Below are 19,455 nucleotides of genomic sequence, written 5' to 3'. Positions count from 1 at the left end.
GTGTTATTCTGTTGAGAGGTGCTGTAATGGCCTGAGTTGGTTGGCCTCCAGCTGGGAGGTAGCACTTGCAAAAGAGTACCAGCTGCATTACTAGCAGTAGGATTTAAGCTTTTCCTAAATTGTCCAGGGGAAGTATTCTAGCTTCTCAGGCAATGGATAGGGCTATAAAGCTCCCAAAAGTTTATGTCTTTGTGTTAAGTTACCAGGGCAGGTAGAGAAATACCATCAGGTAGGGTCAGGATTAGGCAGGTCTGAGCTCAGACTCTCCTTGTCCGGGGCCTGCCTCAGCCACTGTGGGGAACAGAGGGTGGTTCCCAGGCCACCAGGATAATGTTCCAGAAGAAAGTATAACTGTCTCTACTGTGCAGAAGAGTTCACAAAGGGAGTGAGGATTAGCTGACAGCAGTAGGTCCCACCCAGCTCCCACACAGTTGGTGAGGCTGGTCTCACTCCCACAGTGTCCCGCTAACAGCACCAGGTTTAGATCCAGGCAGTCTGCACACAGAACTCAGACCTGACCCAAGCCATAAGCTCCCCCAGAGAGACAGCAATAACAGCTTTAAGGCCATTCCCTTCCCCATCTGCCCGGAAGGCAGGCACCCAGCTTCTGTGTTTGCGTCTGCAGCATACTTCCTGCTCACTCCTGGATTCTGTTCAAGAGAGTTTGTTCCCACTCAAAATTATATCACAAAATTCAGTTGGGAGCTTCTTTCACTCTGTGACCCCTCCCTGGGTTCATTGGCTAACTTCCGCAAGGGTACCTGTGGGAAATAATCAGGAATAGCTTCCCTGGGCTCATGCTGCAGATTGTGAATGCCTACAAGGCACTTCCCACTGCTGCTTCTACTTTAATATCTCACTTTTCTCCCTAAATTTGTTCCAGCTCTCAGTAGGGTTAAGGCCTTCTCCCATGATCTGGGTTTTCAGATTCCCCAGTAGGGATGTGTGTTTAGATGCAGGTTCTCCCCCTCGCACACTCTGGGAACTTTTAATTTTTCACCTATCTCATGGAGTAGGCCTGCTGCTTCTTTCAAAGGCTCTGTGAATTCTTTCAGTTTTCCTGACAAGTTCCTGTGGTAATTCATGGAAAAAAAATTAACAGTATGAATCTCCACCCACTATTCTGTCCTTTCAAGTGGGAGAAGGACACTAACACTACCTCCTATCCACTATCTTGAAAAAAAACAGAATGGGTTTTTTTAATGATCCAAGAATATGCTGTCTACAAGAAAGTCATCTTATCCATAAAGACACACATAGACTGATAAAAGTAAAGGTATGGAAAAAGATATTCCACACAAACAGAAACCAAAAGTGAACAGAAGTAGCTATACTTATATCAAATAAAACAAGTTATAAATAAAAAATGGTAATAAAAGACAAAGAAGGTAATTATATAAAGATAAAGGGATCAAATCAGCAGGAGGATATAACAAACCTAAATATATAGGCACCCAACATCAGAGCACCCAAATTCACAAAACAAATGTTACTAGATCTAAAGAAATAGACAACACTATAATAATAGTGGGAGATTTTAGCACTCCACTCATAGCACTAGATAGGTAATTGAGACATAAAATTAACAAAGAAACATTGAACTTAAATTGGACTTTAGACAAAATGGACTTATCAATTATTTATATGACATGCTACCCAACAACTATAAAATGTACCTTCTTTTTATCAGCAAATGGAATATTCTTCAAGATAGACCATGTTTAGGCCACAAAGCAAGTCTTAACAATTTTTTAAAAATAAAAATCATACCAAGTATCTTCTCAGACTACAGTGGAATAAACCTAGAAATCAATACCAAGAGGAACTTCAGAAACTATTCAAATATATGAAAATTGAACAGCATGCTCCTGAATGATTACTGGGTCAATAAAGAAATTTAAATGGAAAATTTAAAAAAATTAAAACTAATGAAAATGAAAAGACAACATACCAAAACCCATGGGACACTACAAAAGCAATGCTGAGTAAATTTTGCAGTATTAAATGCCTACATCAAAAAAGCAGAAAGATCACAAATTAACAACCTAATGGCACACCTCACAGAACTAGAAAAACAAGAACAAACCAAACCCAAAGTTAGCTGAAGGAAACAAATAACAAAGATCAGAGCAGAACTAAATAAAATGAGACCAGAAAAAAAGATCAATGAAATAAAAAGGTGGTTGTTCAAAAAGATAAACAAAATTGATAAACCACTATCTAGATTAATCAAAAAGAGAGAGGATCCAAATAAACACAATCAGAAATGAAAAAGGAGACATCACAACTGATACCACAGAAATACAAAAGATCATCAGAGACTATTATGAACGACTATATGTTAACAAACTAGAAAACCTAGAGGAAATGGATAAATTCCTGGAAACATATAACCTTCCAAGATTGATCCGGGAAGAAATAAAACTCCTAAACAGACCAATAATGAATAGCAAAATTTAGTCAATAATTTAAAAAATCTTCCCCCAACAAAAAAGCCCAGAACCAGATGGATTCACACTCAAATTCTACCAACTATACAAAGAAGAATTAATGTCAGTCTTCCTGAAACTATTAAAAAAAAATTGAGGAGGAAGGAATTATCCCTAATTCATGCTATGAGATCAATATCACCCTAATACCAAAACCAGACAAGGACACAGCAAAAAAATAAAACTATAGATCAATATTCCTGATGAACATAGATGCAAAAATCCTCAACAAAATACTAGCAAATCAAATTCAATAGCACATTACAAAGATAATACTCACCAGGCATTGCAGCTTACACATGTAATCCCAGCACTTTGGGAAGCTAAAGCAGGAGAAGTGCTTGGGGCCAGGAGTTTGAGACCAGCCTGGGCAACATAGTGAGACCTTGTCTCTACTAAAAGTTTCAAAATCAGTTGGGTATGGCAGTGCACACCTATAGTCCCAGCTACTCAGGAGGCTGAGGCAGAAAGACTGTTTTGTAGCAGGACGAGCTGCAGACAAAACCCCTCAGACACCGAGTTAAAGAAGGAAGGGCTTTATTCGGCTGGGAGCTTTGGCAAAACTCAAGTCTCCAAAAACCGAGCTCCCCGAGTGAGCAATTCCTGTCCCTTTAAAGGCTCACAATTCTAAGGGGGTCCACGTAAGAGGGTCATGATCAATTGAGCAAGCAGTGGGTACATGACTGGGGGCTGCATGCACCAGTAATTAGAACGGAACGGAACAAGACAGGGATTTTCACAACACTTTTCCATACAATGTCTGGAATCCATAGCTAATATAACCAGTTAGGTCAGGGGTTGATCTTTGACCAGGCCCAGGTGCGGCACCGGGCTGTCTGCCTGTGGATTTCATCTCTGTCTTTTAGTTTTTACTTCTTTCTTTGGAGGCAGAAATTGGGCATAAGACAATATGAGGGGTGGTCTCCTCCCTTATTCCCCCCCTTTGAGAATCTCACTCAATAGTGGGAGTTCTCATTTTCATTTTCACTATCTATGTCTTCTTGCAAGACAGATCAATAGTGATTCATATAGCACACTTGTGCTGAAGCATTTTGGTGAACTAAGGTAGCAATGAAGCTTTTTATCATTTGAAGAAGTACAGGTAGCAAACAAGGGAGCAATAAGCAGGTTTTTATTACTATTATAACTCTTATTATAAGAGTTTTAAATCTTTTTAGTGCTGGGAACCATTTTCCAAACATAGCCTTAGGATCAAATCCATGCTACACTTGCACGGGCACATGTGCCAGTTTTGCCATATTTCTAACTATGTCTTCAACTACTTGCCTTTGATCACCTATATGTAGACAGCAATTAGTAAGGTTAAATTTTCTACAGACCCTTCTTTCAGCTGCTAGCAAGTAGTTGAGAGCTAATCTATTTTGATAGATAGCGTTTCTCATCTGAGTTTCTTGCCAGGCCAGAATAGTCAAGGCTTTGCCGGTCTTAATAGTGATTATTTCTAAGACAGCTTGTAACCGTATGATTCAGTTGAGCATGTAAATGGGGGTCAGGTATCCTCACAAGCTGTCTTGTGCCCAAGTACCAGGCATATAATATTGTATGATCCTCTCAGGGGGCCATTTATCATCTTTTTAATTTTTTATAGCTATGCTTTTCTTTTTGTGGGAAGCACAGACAGGAAAGCCTAGGAGTTCACCTGTCTTTATGGGCAGTAGGAAGAAAGATGGTTTAATAGTGCCAATAACACAACTACCTGCCTACTGGTTGGGTAATTTGGTGTAAGCCCTAGACCCCCATATCCACTGTAATCCAGTAGGGGCTGTCCAGTCCTGGTGGGACTCCGGGTGGGTTCACACAGTTTGCAACTTTGGGAATTTACTAAATGGATTTTTCTTAGCATGCTTTGAACTCCACTAGGTGGCTGTTTTTGTAGTATTATTATAGTTTTTGCCTAAGGCAGCTGAGTCTTCCTACAGGAAGGGTGAAGTCCTTCCTCACTTTTGCTATAAAGTATTGTCTACTGATTGAGGCTTTTAGGACCCAGAAGTTATCAGGGTGATTCTTCTGAGCTGGGAATTCATCAGGAACTGGATCTGTAGGTACTAATCCTCGGGCTTTCCATGGCCATTGATCTCCTATTACAGTTCTACATACATAACATGAAATGACATTGAGAGACTGGGCTACATGCTCAGCTAATTGCAAAAACAAATTTCTTGTTTTTCCTGGAATTTCTGGTACTGGCACATTCAGTTTATCACAGAAGGTTTGAAATACTGGCTCAAGAGAGCGTTTATAAACTTCTCAAACCATGATATTTACTCGAGGATCCAGTCCAGCCCTATCGATTCCTAGGGTTACACACTCCCCTTTTTTCCAGCAAGGATCAAGGGGGTTGGTTATTACTAGTTCTAAGGGGTTAAACTGACCACTGGTATAGGAAGGGCCACTTTTTTTTTTCTGAGGATGGACAGGATCCTTTTTATTTTTTATGTAAGTAGCCTAAACGACATAAAACCAGTATCCACATTTATTTTTACACAGTCCTAGTTCATGACAAATGTACTTATTTTCTGCCATATAGCCTCTTTTTTAATTAAGAGAACCACATCTTATTTCTAACTTATTACTATTAATGACAGCACAGGCATCAAACTTCAAGGTGACTTGTTTGGGCACCCCTTTTTCTTTTGTTTTGGCTAACACTTTACTCGTATCATTTATGAGCCTTTACCAGTCCTCAGTCCTTAATCTTATTTCAAAAACTGTGTTCATGGGAGGCTCGGATGGGTCATAACACACATCAGGTTGGTCATTTCCTGGGCTACATACTGTTAATAGAATAGCATTATACAAACAAGTTTTTTTTTTTTTTAGAGTCCCAGTACACTTATAATAATCATAAAATAATAGGACTGTAGCAACTTTTTGTCCTACATCAGTGACTTGATGTATACACTGGGAACAGTCCTCAGTCTGAGAAAGGTCAGTTAAAATCCTTACTGTACAAGTCCAAATTTTAAGGAAAATGAGTCCCATGATGAGTTTTCTCATGCTTCTGCCATGTGTGGACCAGTCAGCTTCTGGAGCAGGGCTAGTCATCTTCTTCAGAGTCACTTTGCAGGGATTGGTGAAGCTGCTCCCATCCACGTACTGCTCACAGTCTACTGATGTTCAAGGATGGTTTCAGAGGTTGGGCCTGCTAGAATAAACTGAGTCCAACACCTCTACACAGTTATGTTCAACTGGACTCTCTGATACAGGGAGCAAGGTGGTGGGGTTTAGGGTGTTGCAAACTTCAATGGTTATGCAGAGATTTTCACATAGCAAGCTTTGGTACTTGGTTAATCTAGCATTTGTTAACCAGTGACGTCCTTCGGTAGTCATTAAAGTTACCACAGCATGGGGGGCCTTTATATTCAGGTTTTGCCTAAGGGTTAGTTTATCTGCTTCTTGTGCTAACATGGCTATTGCTGCCAGGCCCTTAGACATGGGGGCCAGCCTTTGGAAACCCCATCTAGTTGTTTTGAGAGCTAGACCACTGGCCTTGGCCAGGGCCCCACAGTCTGGGTTAAAACTCCAACTGCCATTTTTTTTCTTTCTGATGCATAGGGTGTAAAGGGTTTTGTTAGGTCAGGTAGCCCCAGGGCTGTGGCCGACATGAGTTTTTCTTTTAACTCATGAAAAGCTCATTGCTGCTGGTCGTAATAGATGTAGTTTATCCAATTTACATTTTTATTAACTGTCACCCACCAAAATATTGACTCAAATCCTGCAGCTATTTGATTTCAAGCTTTAAATTGATCTGGTATTTCCCGTGGAAATCTAATTGCATCTAAATGGATGTGAGAGTCTAAAGACCAATAAGGGGTGTCTCTCGCTTCATGATGTCTTATTTTTCCTCCCTCTGGTTGATGAAATGCCAGGGTGAAAGGGATAGCCAATTGGACTAAAGTACAAGTGCCACTCCAGTTATTCAGCAGAGTGCCCAATAAAGGTCCACCACAATAACACCACACATCTGCTCAGGGATGAATAAGGGCTGACTGATTGATAAGCTCTTGAAAATTTTTAAGCTCACTGCATCTCTTCAGGTCTCCAAGGAATGTTAAGTTTCCTCCCTGTGGTGAGAGACATGAAGTGAACTTAGTGTTGGGAGACGGAGGCTGGATGGCCCTCAGGGGCTGACCTGCAAGGTGCTGAACTTTGGGATATAGCAGAGAGAGCTTGGCACAACTTATTACTCCAGGCTGTAGAATCCTGGAAAAGAGCCACCATGCAGCCCATGCCTGGTCGACTGGAGGACCACCCTAGAGGAAAGGGGACAATCTGGGCCTCTGGTCTGCCATGTGCACAAGCATAACAATTGCTTTTGTTTAACCTGCAGATGGAATATTTGATCCATTCCAACCAGGCATTTGCAACTTGGTATGCTGTCTTAATTGCCAAAGTTTGTTTTAAGTCTTTAACTTCTATAATCCTCTAGTAAAATGAATGTGTGATTTTAGGAAATTATAAAAACCAGTTAGGGCAGTCCATCCTTGCTCTTTAGTTGTCCACAGAACGTTGGACCAACTATGGCATAAAAGCTGTACATTGGGGGGCAAGACTCCTGGTTGACACTGGAGTCTTTATCGAAATTTCCCCAGATTAAATGGTCCTAATTTACTAATGCCCAGTCTGAGGAGAGTCAGGAAGGACAGAAGTACTTTTCTGAAGTAGAGAGCTGTCTTTGACTTGGCAAGTCCCCACAGGGTATAACAAGGCAAGCATTAAATGCAATAGTGTGAGGCGAAATTGACTTGGTTATGTTAATAACTAGATGGTCAGCAATAGAGCAAGGAAAGAAGAAAGAGTAATAGAATAGATGAAAGAGTTAAATTTTTCTTAGCTTTAGTTTGATAAGGTTTTCCCCTGGGTCTATGGCCCACGACTCTGGAGGGGGTGGTGCTTTCTTGACTCAGGTGTGATGAGTCCATCCTTCTTTCACTCTATGAACAGCAGTCTCGGTGGTCAGAAGCACAAGGTAGGGTCCTTCCTAGGCTGGCTTGAGTTTTTCTTCTTTCTACCCTTTGATGAGAAGGTGATCTTCAGGCTAGTGATGGTTTACTGGAAATTCTAGGGGTGGTACCTGTGCTAAAAGACTTTTAGTTTTGACGGAAAGGAAAGTGGAAGATAGGCCAAGTACATAATTTCTAAGAAACTGACCTTTTGTTTTAAATGTGGGGACATCAGTGGACTTTATAGTCCTTGGTGCCTTCTTACTGAGAAATTTCTTTTAGCACCTATTTTTATTAGTTTTTAGACCAAAGAAAGCCAAACATCATTTTATATTTAATAATGCTTCTTGTATGATTTTTATACCAGATAAGCTAAATTTCACCTTTATATTAGTGTGCTATTAATGTTAAACTTAGTTTTAATAAAATTTGTATACATATTTATTCAATTTTTAATGTTGGACCATAAGGTAAGATTTTTATAGACTCTTTTTAACCTTTTATAATCTTTGTTAAAGAGCAGGTTAGTGCTTTAAGAAAAACCCATTGTATTTTTACTTTAATGTCCAGTTCACAGAAAAACTGGATGATAGCTTTTTAACTTCAGCAAATATGTTTACACACAGAATTTTCTTTACAATTAATGTTTTAAAACTTGCTTAAACCTTCAAAACAATAACTTTTTTAATGTTTTAATGTAGGTAAAAATTTACATTCTTATGCCTCTTTATAATCCTCTTACTAAAGGTATATTTTACCTTCCTTATACACCATGCACATAAACTGTTTTCTTTCTCAATAGTTTTTACCTTCAGGAGGCCTAGTTACTTTTAAATTATACAACATTTCTTGCATAAATTCTTTTTTTATAATATTTTTCTCTTTCACGACTTTAGCAGACAATTCTTCGACATGCCTCAACTTTCTGACTTATTACAAACATTTCTTTTTTTAAACAACCAGTTAATTTATTTCAGGATAAGAATTTACCATATAACATTCTTTTTACATAAATTCTGCCCCCACTTTTTTTCCTTTTTTTTTTCCAAAGACGGTAACCATTCTTTGCTTTATGTCTGTGGACTAGACTGTCTAAGGCCACAAGATTAGAAGTTACTATAATACATGTTACACTGTTAACTTTTAGCAAACTTTACTTTTGTTGAAAACCATGTAAGCTTGGGATTTTAATTATCCTTTGCTATGAATAAGACCTTGTTTTGTCCAAATTAACTTAGAATTCGTATAGATGGCTTTCTTTTTCCTTCAATTACCTGGGAGGAACCATCCATTGTCCTGTCCTGAAGGGAGTTCCTCCTAGGTCTGGTTGGACCTTTGTATGGTAATTAAGATTTAGATCCCCTGTTAGGAAACCTGCTGGGTTAAGGGAATTTTCATTGGTTAGTGTTAAATTATCCTTTTTTTTTTCTTTTTAGGATACTTCTGAACTGGTGAGGTGTGCTCACAATGAGGTTTCCTCTCAAAGTTATTTTTTTTACTTTCTTCTGTTAGCAAAGCAGTTGCCACTACAGATTGAATGCATCTGGGCCATCTGTGGGTTACTGGGTTAAGGATTTTTGATAGGAAGGCCTCAGTGCTTTTGGGATACACCCTTGTTTACACTGACAACAAAGTGGTATTAGAGTGTTATAGGGTTACGGAGAATACCTTTAATTATCAATTATAGGTTTTAAATTTACCTTGGCTTTTAAAGGAATAGGGTGCACTGTTTTTTTTTTTTTTCTTAACTACTTGTATATCTCTTTCTTTCTCTCTTTGATTTTCTGTCTCTTTTTCTCTTTGACTTTCCTTTTGCCTCTGTCTCTTTCTCTCTCTTTGCCTCTCTCTTTCTCTCTCTCTCTGCTGGTCTTTCCTTGCCTCTGCCAGCTGCTTATGCTGCTGTTCTCTCAACCACTGTTGGGGGGGTGTTTAAAATCAGTGTAACCAAGTGTCTATATACAGGAACTGGTCTGGGTGACCTGGCTTACAGGTTACCTTGTGCCATACCTTTGAAACAAAGGACCTGTCCAGGCTTCCTTCTGATGGCCAACCTACCTCTAATGCTGGCCAGTCTATTTACACAAAGTTCTAAGTTTTCCTGGTGTCATAGTAACACCATAATCTCCTTTAAATCCTTTCTTGAAATTTTTCAACATAGTTCCTAGTGGGGTGGGCTTACTTTGTGCCTGACCCATGCTTCTTTGAGACAAAACACCATACTCACACCACACACACACCACAAAACAAAGAACGGGTAAAAAGAGCACACACACACTTTTACAGTTTACACCAAAGCAGAATCAAAACCAAAATCAGAGTATCAAGAAATCCAAGCCAGGTCAAAACCAAAACCAAAGTATTAAGCAATTCAAGTCAAATCAAAACAAAAACCAAAGTGCTGGTATAGGCACACTGTGGGTGATCAGGCCACGCTTCCACTCAAATGGAGAGGGCAAGTTCCAAAGACTAGTCTTACGAAGTTTCAGATGTCCGGACTCCAAGTGTCAGTTCCTTCCCAGTGTTCAGTCACTGCATTGATCCTCCATGAGGGCCTGCCATGTGCTGCTCTGGCGAGGCATTCCACCAGGGCAATTGCCTACCCAGGGGTGCTCTCAGGATCCGTGTCGCCCAAGCTGGCTGGAGTCCCCCGCAGGGACACTTCACAGGGCAGGCCTAAGCCGTCTAAGTGGCTGCCTTGACCGTCCATTAATCACCTTGCTTCCCAGTCAGGGAACCAAGAAATGTAGCAGGACGAGCCGCGGACAAAACCCCTCAGACACTGAGTTAAAGAAGGAAGGGCTTTATTCGGCTGGGAGCTTTGGCAAAACTCACGTCTCCAACAACCGAGCTCCCCGAGTGAGCAATTCCTGTCCCTTTTAAGGGCTCACAACTCTAAGGGGGTCTGTGTGAGAGGGTCATGATCAATTAAGCAAGCAGTGGGTACATGACTGGGGGCTGCATGCACCGGTAATTAGAACAGAACAAGACAGGGATTTTCACAACACTTTTCCATACAACGTCTGGAATCTAGATAACATAACTGGTTAGGTCAGGGGTCAATCTTTAACTAGGCCCAGGATGTGGCACCAGGCTGTCTGCCTGTGGATTTCATCTCTGCCTTTTAGTTTTTACTTCTTTCTTTGGAGGCAGAAATTGGGCATAAGACAATATGAGGGGTGGTCTCCTCCCTTAGCTTGAGCTCAGGAGTTTGAGCTTAAAGTCAGCTATGATTGTGTCACTGCACTCCATCATGAATAACAAAGCAAGATCATGTCTCAAAAAAAAAAACCCAAAAAACAACAAAAAAAGAGGATGCAAGAATAGTTCAACATACACAAATCAATAAATGTGATACAACACATAAACGGAATTAAGGACAAAAAACATGTAATCATCTCAATAGATGCAGCAAAAGCATTTGATAAAATTCAGTACCCCTTCATTATAAAAATCTTCAACCAACTATGCATAAAGAAACATACCTCAACATAATAAAGCCCATATATGACAAACCTACAGCAAATATCACACTTAATGGGGAACATTGAAAGCATTCCCTCTAAGAACTGGAAGAAGACAAGATGCCCACTTTCACCACTCATATTTAACACAGTACTGCAAGTCCTTGCCAGAGCAATCAAGCAAGAGAAATAATAAAAGCTATCTAAACTGGAAAAGAGAAAGTCATATTATTCTTGTTCACTTATTGATTATATAATCTTATATCTAGAAAACCCTAAAGACTCCACCAAAAACCTTTTGCATTTGATAAATGAACTCAGTAAAGTTTCAGGATATAAAATTAATATGCAGTAGCATTTCTATAATGGTCTATCCATGGACCAAATTAAGAAGGCAATCCCACTTATAATAGCTACCAAAAAATTAATAAAATATCTGGGGATATATTTAACCAAGGACGTAAAAAGTCTTTTAAAGGAGAATTACAAAATACTGGTGAAAGAAATTATAGATGACACAAAAAAATGGAAAAACATCCCATGCTTATGGATTGGAAAAATTAATTTTTTTTTTGAGATGGAGTCTCGCTCTGTCACCCAGGCTAGAGTACAGTGGCATGATCTTGGCTCACTGCAACCTCCACCTCCTGGGTTCAAGCGATTCTCCAGTCTCAGTCTCCTAAGTAACTGGGACTACAGACATGCACCACCATGCCTGGCTAATTTTTGTATTTTCAGTAGAGACAGAGTTTTGCCATGTTGGCCAGGCTGGTCTCGAACTCCTGACCTCAGGGGAACCACCTGCCTCAGCCTCCCAAAGAGCTGGGATTACGGGTGTGAGCTGCCGTGCCTGGCCAAATTAATAGTCTTAAAATGACCACACAGCCCAAAGTAATCTACAAGTTCAGTGCAATCCCTATCAAAATGCCAATGTCATGTCCACACAGGAGGTCTAAAAAAAGTACCAATGTCAATTTTCACAGAATTAGAGTAAATAATTCAGGATTCAGAGTTAGAAGAAATGAATTCATATGGAGCCAAAAAGGAGCCCAAATAGCCAAAGTAATCCTAAGGGGGGAAAAAAAAAGCTGAAGGTATCACATTGCCTAACTTCAAATTATATTACAAGGCTATAGTTACCAAAACAGCATGATACTTATATAAAAATCAACACATAGATTAATAGAACAAAATACAGAATGCAGAAATAAAACCACACACTTACAGCCAACGGATCTTTGACAAAATTGACCAGAACATATACTGGAGAAAGAACATCCTTTTCAATAAATTGTGCTGGGAAAAATCGAATTGCCATATGTGGAAGAATGAAACTGGACCCCTATCACTCACCAAATACAAAAATCAACTCACAATAGATTAAAGACTTGAATGTAAGACCTGACACTATAAAAATGCTAGAAAAAAATAGGGAAAACTCTTGTAGACATTGGGCTAGTCAAGAATTCGTGAAGAACACCTCAAAAGCACAAGCAACGAAAACAAAAATAGACAAATGGGACTTAAAGTTAAAAGCTTCTGCATAGCAAAAGAAATAATCGACAGAGTGATAAACAATCTGTGGAATGGGAGAGAATATTTGCAAACAATACGTCCAAGAGGGGACTAATATCCAGAATTTACAAGGAACTCAACTCAACAACAAAAAATAATCCCATTAAAAAGTGGGCTAAAGACATGAATAGACATTTTTCAAAACAAGATAAACAAATAGCCAACGTGTATATGAAAAAAGTTACACATTACTAATTATCAGAGAAATGTAAATTAAAACCACAATGAAATATCATCTTACACCAATCAGAATGACTATTACTAAAAAGATAAAAAAATAACAGATGTTGGAGAGGATTTGGAGAAAAGGGAACTCTTACACACTGTTGGTGGGAATGTAAACTAGGACAACCTCTATGGAAAACAGTATGAAGATTTCTCAAGGAACTAAAAATAGAACCACTATACAATCCAGCAGTCCTACCCAGCTGAGTATCTACCCAAAGGATAAGAAATCACTATATCAAAGAGATATCTGCACTCATATGTTTATCACAGCATTACTCACAATAGCAAAGATACGGAATCAATCTAAGTGTTCATCAATGGAGGACTGGATAAAGAAAATGTGGGGTATATACACAATGGAATACTATTCAACCATAAAAAGAATGAAATTATATCTTGTGCAGAAACATGGATAGAACTGGGGGCCATTTTCTGACATGAAACAACCCATATACAAAAAGACATGTTCCTCATGTTCTCACTTATAAGAGGAAACTAAATAATGTGTACACACAAAGCAGAATGTGGAGTCTGGGATAATGAACAATGGAGACTCAGAAGGATAGAAGGTTGGTGGGTGATGGTAGGTTGCTTGGTGGGTACAATGTGCCTTGCTCTAGTGATAAATGATGCACTGAAGGCCCTGACTTCACCACAGTGCAATATGTCAACAGCAAAATTGCACTTTACCCAATGAATATATATGAATAATAAAACAATGAGATACCACTACATACCTATTAGAATGGCACCAAAACACAGGCACCACCAAATATTGACAAAAATGTGGAGAAACAGGAACTCCCATTCATTGTTGGTGGGAATGCAAAACGGTATACTACTTTAGAAGACAGTTGGGTAGTTTCTTACCATTCAACTCGGCAAGTGCTCTTGGAATATTTACCCAAAGAGCTTGAAAATTTATATCTACACAAAAACCTAAACATGAATGTATACAGCAGCTTTATTCATAATTGCCAAAACTTAAAAGCAACTAGAACATCCTTCAATACGTGAATGGATAAATAAGCTATGGTATATCCAGACAATTAAGAATTATTCAGCACTGAAAAGAAATGAGCTAATAAGCTATGAAAAAACATAAAGGATATTTAAATGCATAAAAGAGTGAATTTTCTCATATTTCAATTATATCTCAGTAATTTTTAAATCTCTTTAAGGATGTTATCATTAGAATAAACTGAGTAAAAGGCACACAGGATTTTTCTGTGGCATTTTATACAAATGTATGTGAATTTACAGTGATTTCAAAATAAAAAGTTTTGAAGAAATAAATTTTTTAATTATGAGATTTTAAAAACCTCCTTAAGAGATGCACAAAGAAGAAAAAATGAGAAGAAAAAGGTTACACTAAAAATCAGAACTCAGGAGGAGTGTGGATCACAACCATGGGTTCAGATTTCGAGATGATTTACCCAAAGTCATATTCATGTGAGAGATGAAGATGGCTTCTTCATTCTGAAGTTGCTCAAGTTGTCAACAGAAATCTGCTGCCAGTGATGACTCAAAATGTTCCCCAAGATTTGGAGGAATCCCACAATCCTCAGCAACACACCACAGCTTGAGGTCTTTCCCCAAAAGCTCATGGTGGCAGTTCCTTATGAGAGTCAAGTCAATCTGCAACCATTCCAAATCTCCCAGCTGTACTTTCCACCAATGAAGAAGACCAACCCAGGACAAATGGCCTTGCCTAATGAGAGACTGGTGAACCACAAAAACACTTCCCAAAAAGTCCACAGGGTCACAAAGTGGCAGAGCTGTCCATGACAGTTGATGAAGTTCCTCTTTTGGGTTCCACATATGCCTAACAGACTTCCTCCCTTTGGTCCAGCAGCCTCAGCTCCATTAACCACAGGTGGGCATCACTATGGACTAAGTGGGGTGGGGCATTCTGGCAGGAAGCAAAGGGGTAAACAGTCAAAGAGAGTCTGAACTTCAGTTTGGGAAAAAGGCCTTCTCTACACCCATCTAGAAGCCAGAACTTGATTTTCATCAAAAGACTTGAGTTTCATCTCTGCTCAGTTATTGTGGAACCTTACAAAAGTTCTTTAACCTGTTTCCCCACCTCTGTTGGTGATAATAATACCTCTCAGGAAATATTAAGATGACACCTCTCGAGAAATATTAAAATGCAATGAGGTCATGGATATCCAAATACTGGATTTTTCCTTTTCCTTAAGTCAGTGTTTCCCAAGGTGTGGCCTACAAACTATTAATGGTACATAAGAAAATTTTAGATTAAAATAGACTTTTTAATTTTAATCCTTATAAACTTGACTTAAACGATACTAGAAAAAAACATAACTAGCTTTTCTACCTTGCTAAGATTAAGTTTAAAACTGAGTCAAAATAAAATCTACGTTAAAAAAAATTAGGTTAATAATTTCTAGCTGGGCACAGGGGCTCATGACTGTAATCCCAGCACTTTGGGAGGCCGAGGCGGTCGGATCACTTGACGTCAGGAGTTTGGGACCAGCCTGACCAACATGGTGAAATCCCGTTTCTACCAAAAAAATATAAAAAATTAGCTGGGTGTGGTGGCGCCCACCTGTAATCCCAGCTATGTGGGAGGCTGAGGCAAAAGAATCACTTGAACCCAGGAGGTAGAGCTTGCAGGGAGCTGAAATCATGCCACTGCAGTCCAGTCTGGGTGACAGAGTGAGATTCCCTCTCAAAAAATAATAATAATGATAATAATAATAATTTCTAAAATTTAGTAAGTATATATGGCAGAAATAATAAAGACAATTGAAATTTGAGAAATAATGCTTCCACCTATAAGAACCAGGCCTGTGAACCTCATCCTTGGGTCTCCTGGAAGGAGGATCTTCAGGCCTTCTGTATTTTATAATACAGTGCTCTCTTTGTAAGAACCCAGGGACACATTGTTTCTGGACATAGTGTTAGATGTAGTTGTACTTTTCCTAAACATTTGTCTCGTGGATATTGCAAAACTGTAGTTGGTTGAGTTTCTCTATTTGCACTGACAACAAGAAAGCTTAAAGCCCAACCCAACTTGGGGCTAGTTGCCAAATACATATAGGACTGTGTCACATTCATTTTTTTTTTATTTCAATAGTTTTGGGGGTACAGATAGTTTTTGATTACATGGATCCATTCTTTAGTGGGGATTTCTGAGATTTTTTTTTTTTTTTTTTTTGAGACGGAGTCTTGCTCTGTCACCCAGGCTGGAGTGCAGTGGCGTGATCTTGACTCAGTGCAACTTCCACCTCCCGGGTTCACGCCATTCTGCCTCAGCCTCCGAAGTAGCTGGGACCACAGGTGCCTGCCACCACGCCCGGCTAATTTTTTGTATTTTTAGTAGAGACAGGGTTTCACCGTGTTAGCCAGGATGGTCTCGATCTCCTGACCTCATGATCCACCTGCCTCGGCCTCCCAAAGTGCTGGGATTACAGGCATGAGCCACCACGCCCGGCCGGATTTCTGAGATTTTGATGCACCCATCACCTAAGCAGTATGCACTGTACCCAATATGTGTAGTCTTTTATTCCTCACCTCCCTCCCACTCTTCCCTCTGAGTCCCCAAAGTCATTCTTATGCCTTTGCATCCTCATAGCTTAGCTCCCATTTACAAGTGAGAACATACAATCTTTGGTTTTCCATTTGTGAATTATTTCACTTAAGATAATGGCTTCCAGCTCCATCCAAGTTGCTGCAAAGTCCATTATTTTGTTCTGTTTTATGGCTGAGTAGTATTCCACGGTGCAGCATATTCATTATTTATTAGCCTCATTTCTAACTCCATTTAATGTCCCTATCTTATAATTTTTGTTTCTTTTCTACTTTATTTTATTTTATTTATTTTTGAAACAGAGTCTCACTCTGTCACCCAGGCTGGAATGTAGTGGTGCGATCTTGACTCACTGCAACCTCCATCTCCTGGGCTCAAACGATTTGCCTGCCACAGCCACCCAAGTAGCTGGGACTTACAGGCATGTGCCACCATGCCCGACTTTTGTATTTTTAGTGGAGGTGGGGTTTCACCATGTTGGCCAGGCTGGTCTTGAACGAACCCCTGGCCTCAAGTGATCCACCCACCTCAGCCTCCCAAAGTGCTGGGATTACAGGCATGAGTCACCGCACCCGGCCTCTCTTCCACTTTTAACTTAAATTGTCTCTTATATGTTTATATTCTTTTAAGCTATCTTAAATCTTATTTGAAATATGGCAAAATGTAAAGTTTTAAACGTCCCAAGTTTATTTTCTTTTTTTGTTTATTAAGGAGATACTTCTCTAAGTAAAGTTTGTCCTAAAATTCAAAGGATTGTGCTTTCTGAATCTTTCTGTATCCCTGGGTTAGTACAGATTCGAGTATGCTTTGATAAGAGTGGAACGATCAATCATTTGGTATCATTTTAAAATTAATCCTTACCAAAAGCCCATTCTTTTCAGGGTTACATCACTACAGTACAAAAGAGATAGTTATTAACTTATTTCAGACCTGGGCAACCCCATGGACCTAAAGTCAAAAGGGAAGTGGGTTCTGTGGTGGAATTGGACTTCCTCCTTTTTCCTCAAAAGCCAGGATTTTACTGACAAAAACAACAACAATAAAAAAACCCAACCTAAAATGATACCAAAATCTAGTGTCAGAACATTCAGAATACCCTAAGAGGTGGGAAGCTATTTTATTCATAGTTCATATACTGAGTCTCCTAAGCCAGTAGACTTTTCATGACCTAGCTCCTTGTACCTACCAATGTTTTCTCCAGTGAGAGAAGATCTAATGTTTGTCTTGGATTAACTCCTATACTTTTTTTAGTATCTTGGTTACATATTTTTTCTGAGCCTCATTTTCTCTCTGTAAAATAAAGATAATTTTTATTCTGCCTATTTCAATATAAAGTCACAATGAAATACTAGTCAGGACTCTCAGTTGCATGTGACAAAAATTCAACTCAAATTACCCAAGAGCATAGCTAGATGGCGGTGGCAGTGGAGTTATTAGAAGTTATTTAGATAAAGACTGAACAGCTAAAACAGTGCATAAAGGTAGAGCTCAGAGACCAGAAATGGAAATGCCACCTTACACTCTTTGCATCTCTCATTTCTGTTTAACCCCACAGGGCACCTCATTCTTTCTTAGAATAGACCAACCAGGAACATGGCCACCCAGAGCTCTAGTACCTCAAATCTTACAACACAGAAGCAAAACCCATAGAAGAATTGAGATTCACTTTTTCTAGTCTCAAATGCAAATATCCTACAAATTGATAGAATTGACCAATCTTGGGTCAGGTACTTATCACTGAACTCACCAACTGTGGACATAAGTTTGAGTATTCTGATTAGCCTGGACTAAATCAAGTGCCTATCTCTGAGCCAATCAACACTGTCTAGGAGAAAGAGCTCTAAAAAGATGGCAGCTCCCATTCAAGTCACATGATTAGAGTGAAAAGCACCAGCATTTTTGCAGAGAAACAGAAGATGGAAACAGGTGGACTCTTATGGGCAGAAAAAAAAGAGAGACTTATTATAGGTTTTTAAAATCAGGATTATTAGACACATATAGTACATGGTTTCCAAGTGACTCAAGACTCACACCAAGTGCCAACTACTCCAAGAATCCTTTCCTGATAACTATTTTCAATTATAAAACCCTTCCCTCATTGGCATACCCATTATAGTTCTGCAAAATATAACTTCCACTCAGTTATATTTAAGTTTTCATTTGATTATATGTTATATTAAATTGCTTTCTAACAAACTATTTTAAATTTGTCTTCTTCATTTGGTTATTCCCTGATGATAGAAATCAGCTATTTCTTGCTGGTCATAGTGATTGTGTTAATTTATTTTTGCTCCCATGAAGGATATTTGCATTTTACCTGGGTCTATCACAGGCAAAGTCTTAACCCAAAGGAGTGATTGTGACACTGGGAATGTTAAACATACACAACAGAACATCTTTGGGATTCTACACTCAGGCCCAAATGCTGTGAAATCATTAATATAACCCTATTATATTAATATATTCATTGTCATCATCTATTTTGGGCTGCTGATAGACCTATGGCAATCATACATGCAGAATATATTATCTGGGGAGAGGTAGATAGCATTGTGTTGCGGTAAAGACCACAAGTTCTGAAGCCAGACAGACCTGAATTTGGCCTGAGTTCTTCCACTTATTTGTGTGACTGGAGACAAATTACTCCACATCTCTGAACATCAGTTTCCTCACTATAAGGTGAATACAGTAATAGTATCTCCCTCAGGAAGCTGTTTTGAACATCAAATGAGATAAGGTATTCAAAGCTTTTACTGTGCTACTTGGTACACAATAATTGCTCAATAAATGGTAGCATTCTTTTAAAGGTTCTAATTCAAATAATGAGTCCCATTTCCCCAAAAACATACGTATCCATCAAAACACATGATACAACTTGCAGTTGAAAATGTGATAATTATACCTAAACTCTATGCCAAAAGGGCTAGAAAATAACAATAGTATTTTCAAGCATATTCCTATGTAAACTGTAAAATCTTTTGCCAAGATAGATTTGTACTGTGGTAGTCTTATAAAACTTTATTAAATTTATCCAAGTTGTTTAACTAAGATTCCCTAAAAAGTCCCCACACAGGCATGTGAAATAATACAACTATCTCCTCCCAACCCCTGGAGAGTAGTATGAAACCACAGAAGACTATTTGGATAAGAAATTAACCTTTCCTGATACGCTTCTGAGAATTTGA

The 19,455-nt window shown here is 39.0% G+C and overlaps 1 long non-coding RNA gene across 1 annotated transcript in view; it reads right to left on the bottom strand.

Moving 5' to 3' along the window:
• Window positions 1-14,002: 14,002 nt before the first annotated feature.
• Window positions 14,003-19,455, bottom strand: part of IL12B-AS1 (IL12B antisense RNA 1) — a 31,317-nt gene continuing 25,864 nt past the window's right edge. Inside the window, exon 5 of the long non-coding RNA NR_037889.1 lies at window positions 14,003-14,629. This is a non-coding gene — a long non-coding RNA (IL12B antisense RNA 1). The remainder of the gene's footprint in view (window positions 14,630-19,455) is intronic.

The sequence above is a fragment of the Homo sapiens genome, chromosome 5 (genome assembly GCF_000001405.40).
Source record: "Homo sapiens chromosome 5, GRCh38.p14 Primary Assembly".
Taxonomy (NCBI): domain Eukaryota; kingdom Metazoa; phylum Chordata; class Mammalia; order Primates; family Hominidae; genus Homo; species Homo sapiens.
The sequence above is the reverse complement of the archived record's forward strand: the minus strand, read 5'-3'. Positions and strand labels throughout refer to the sequence as shown.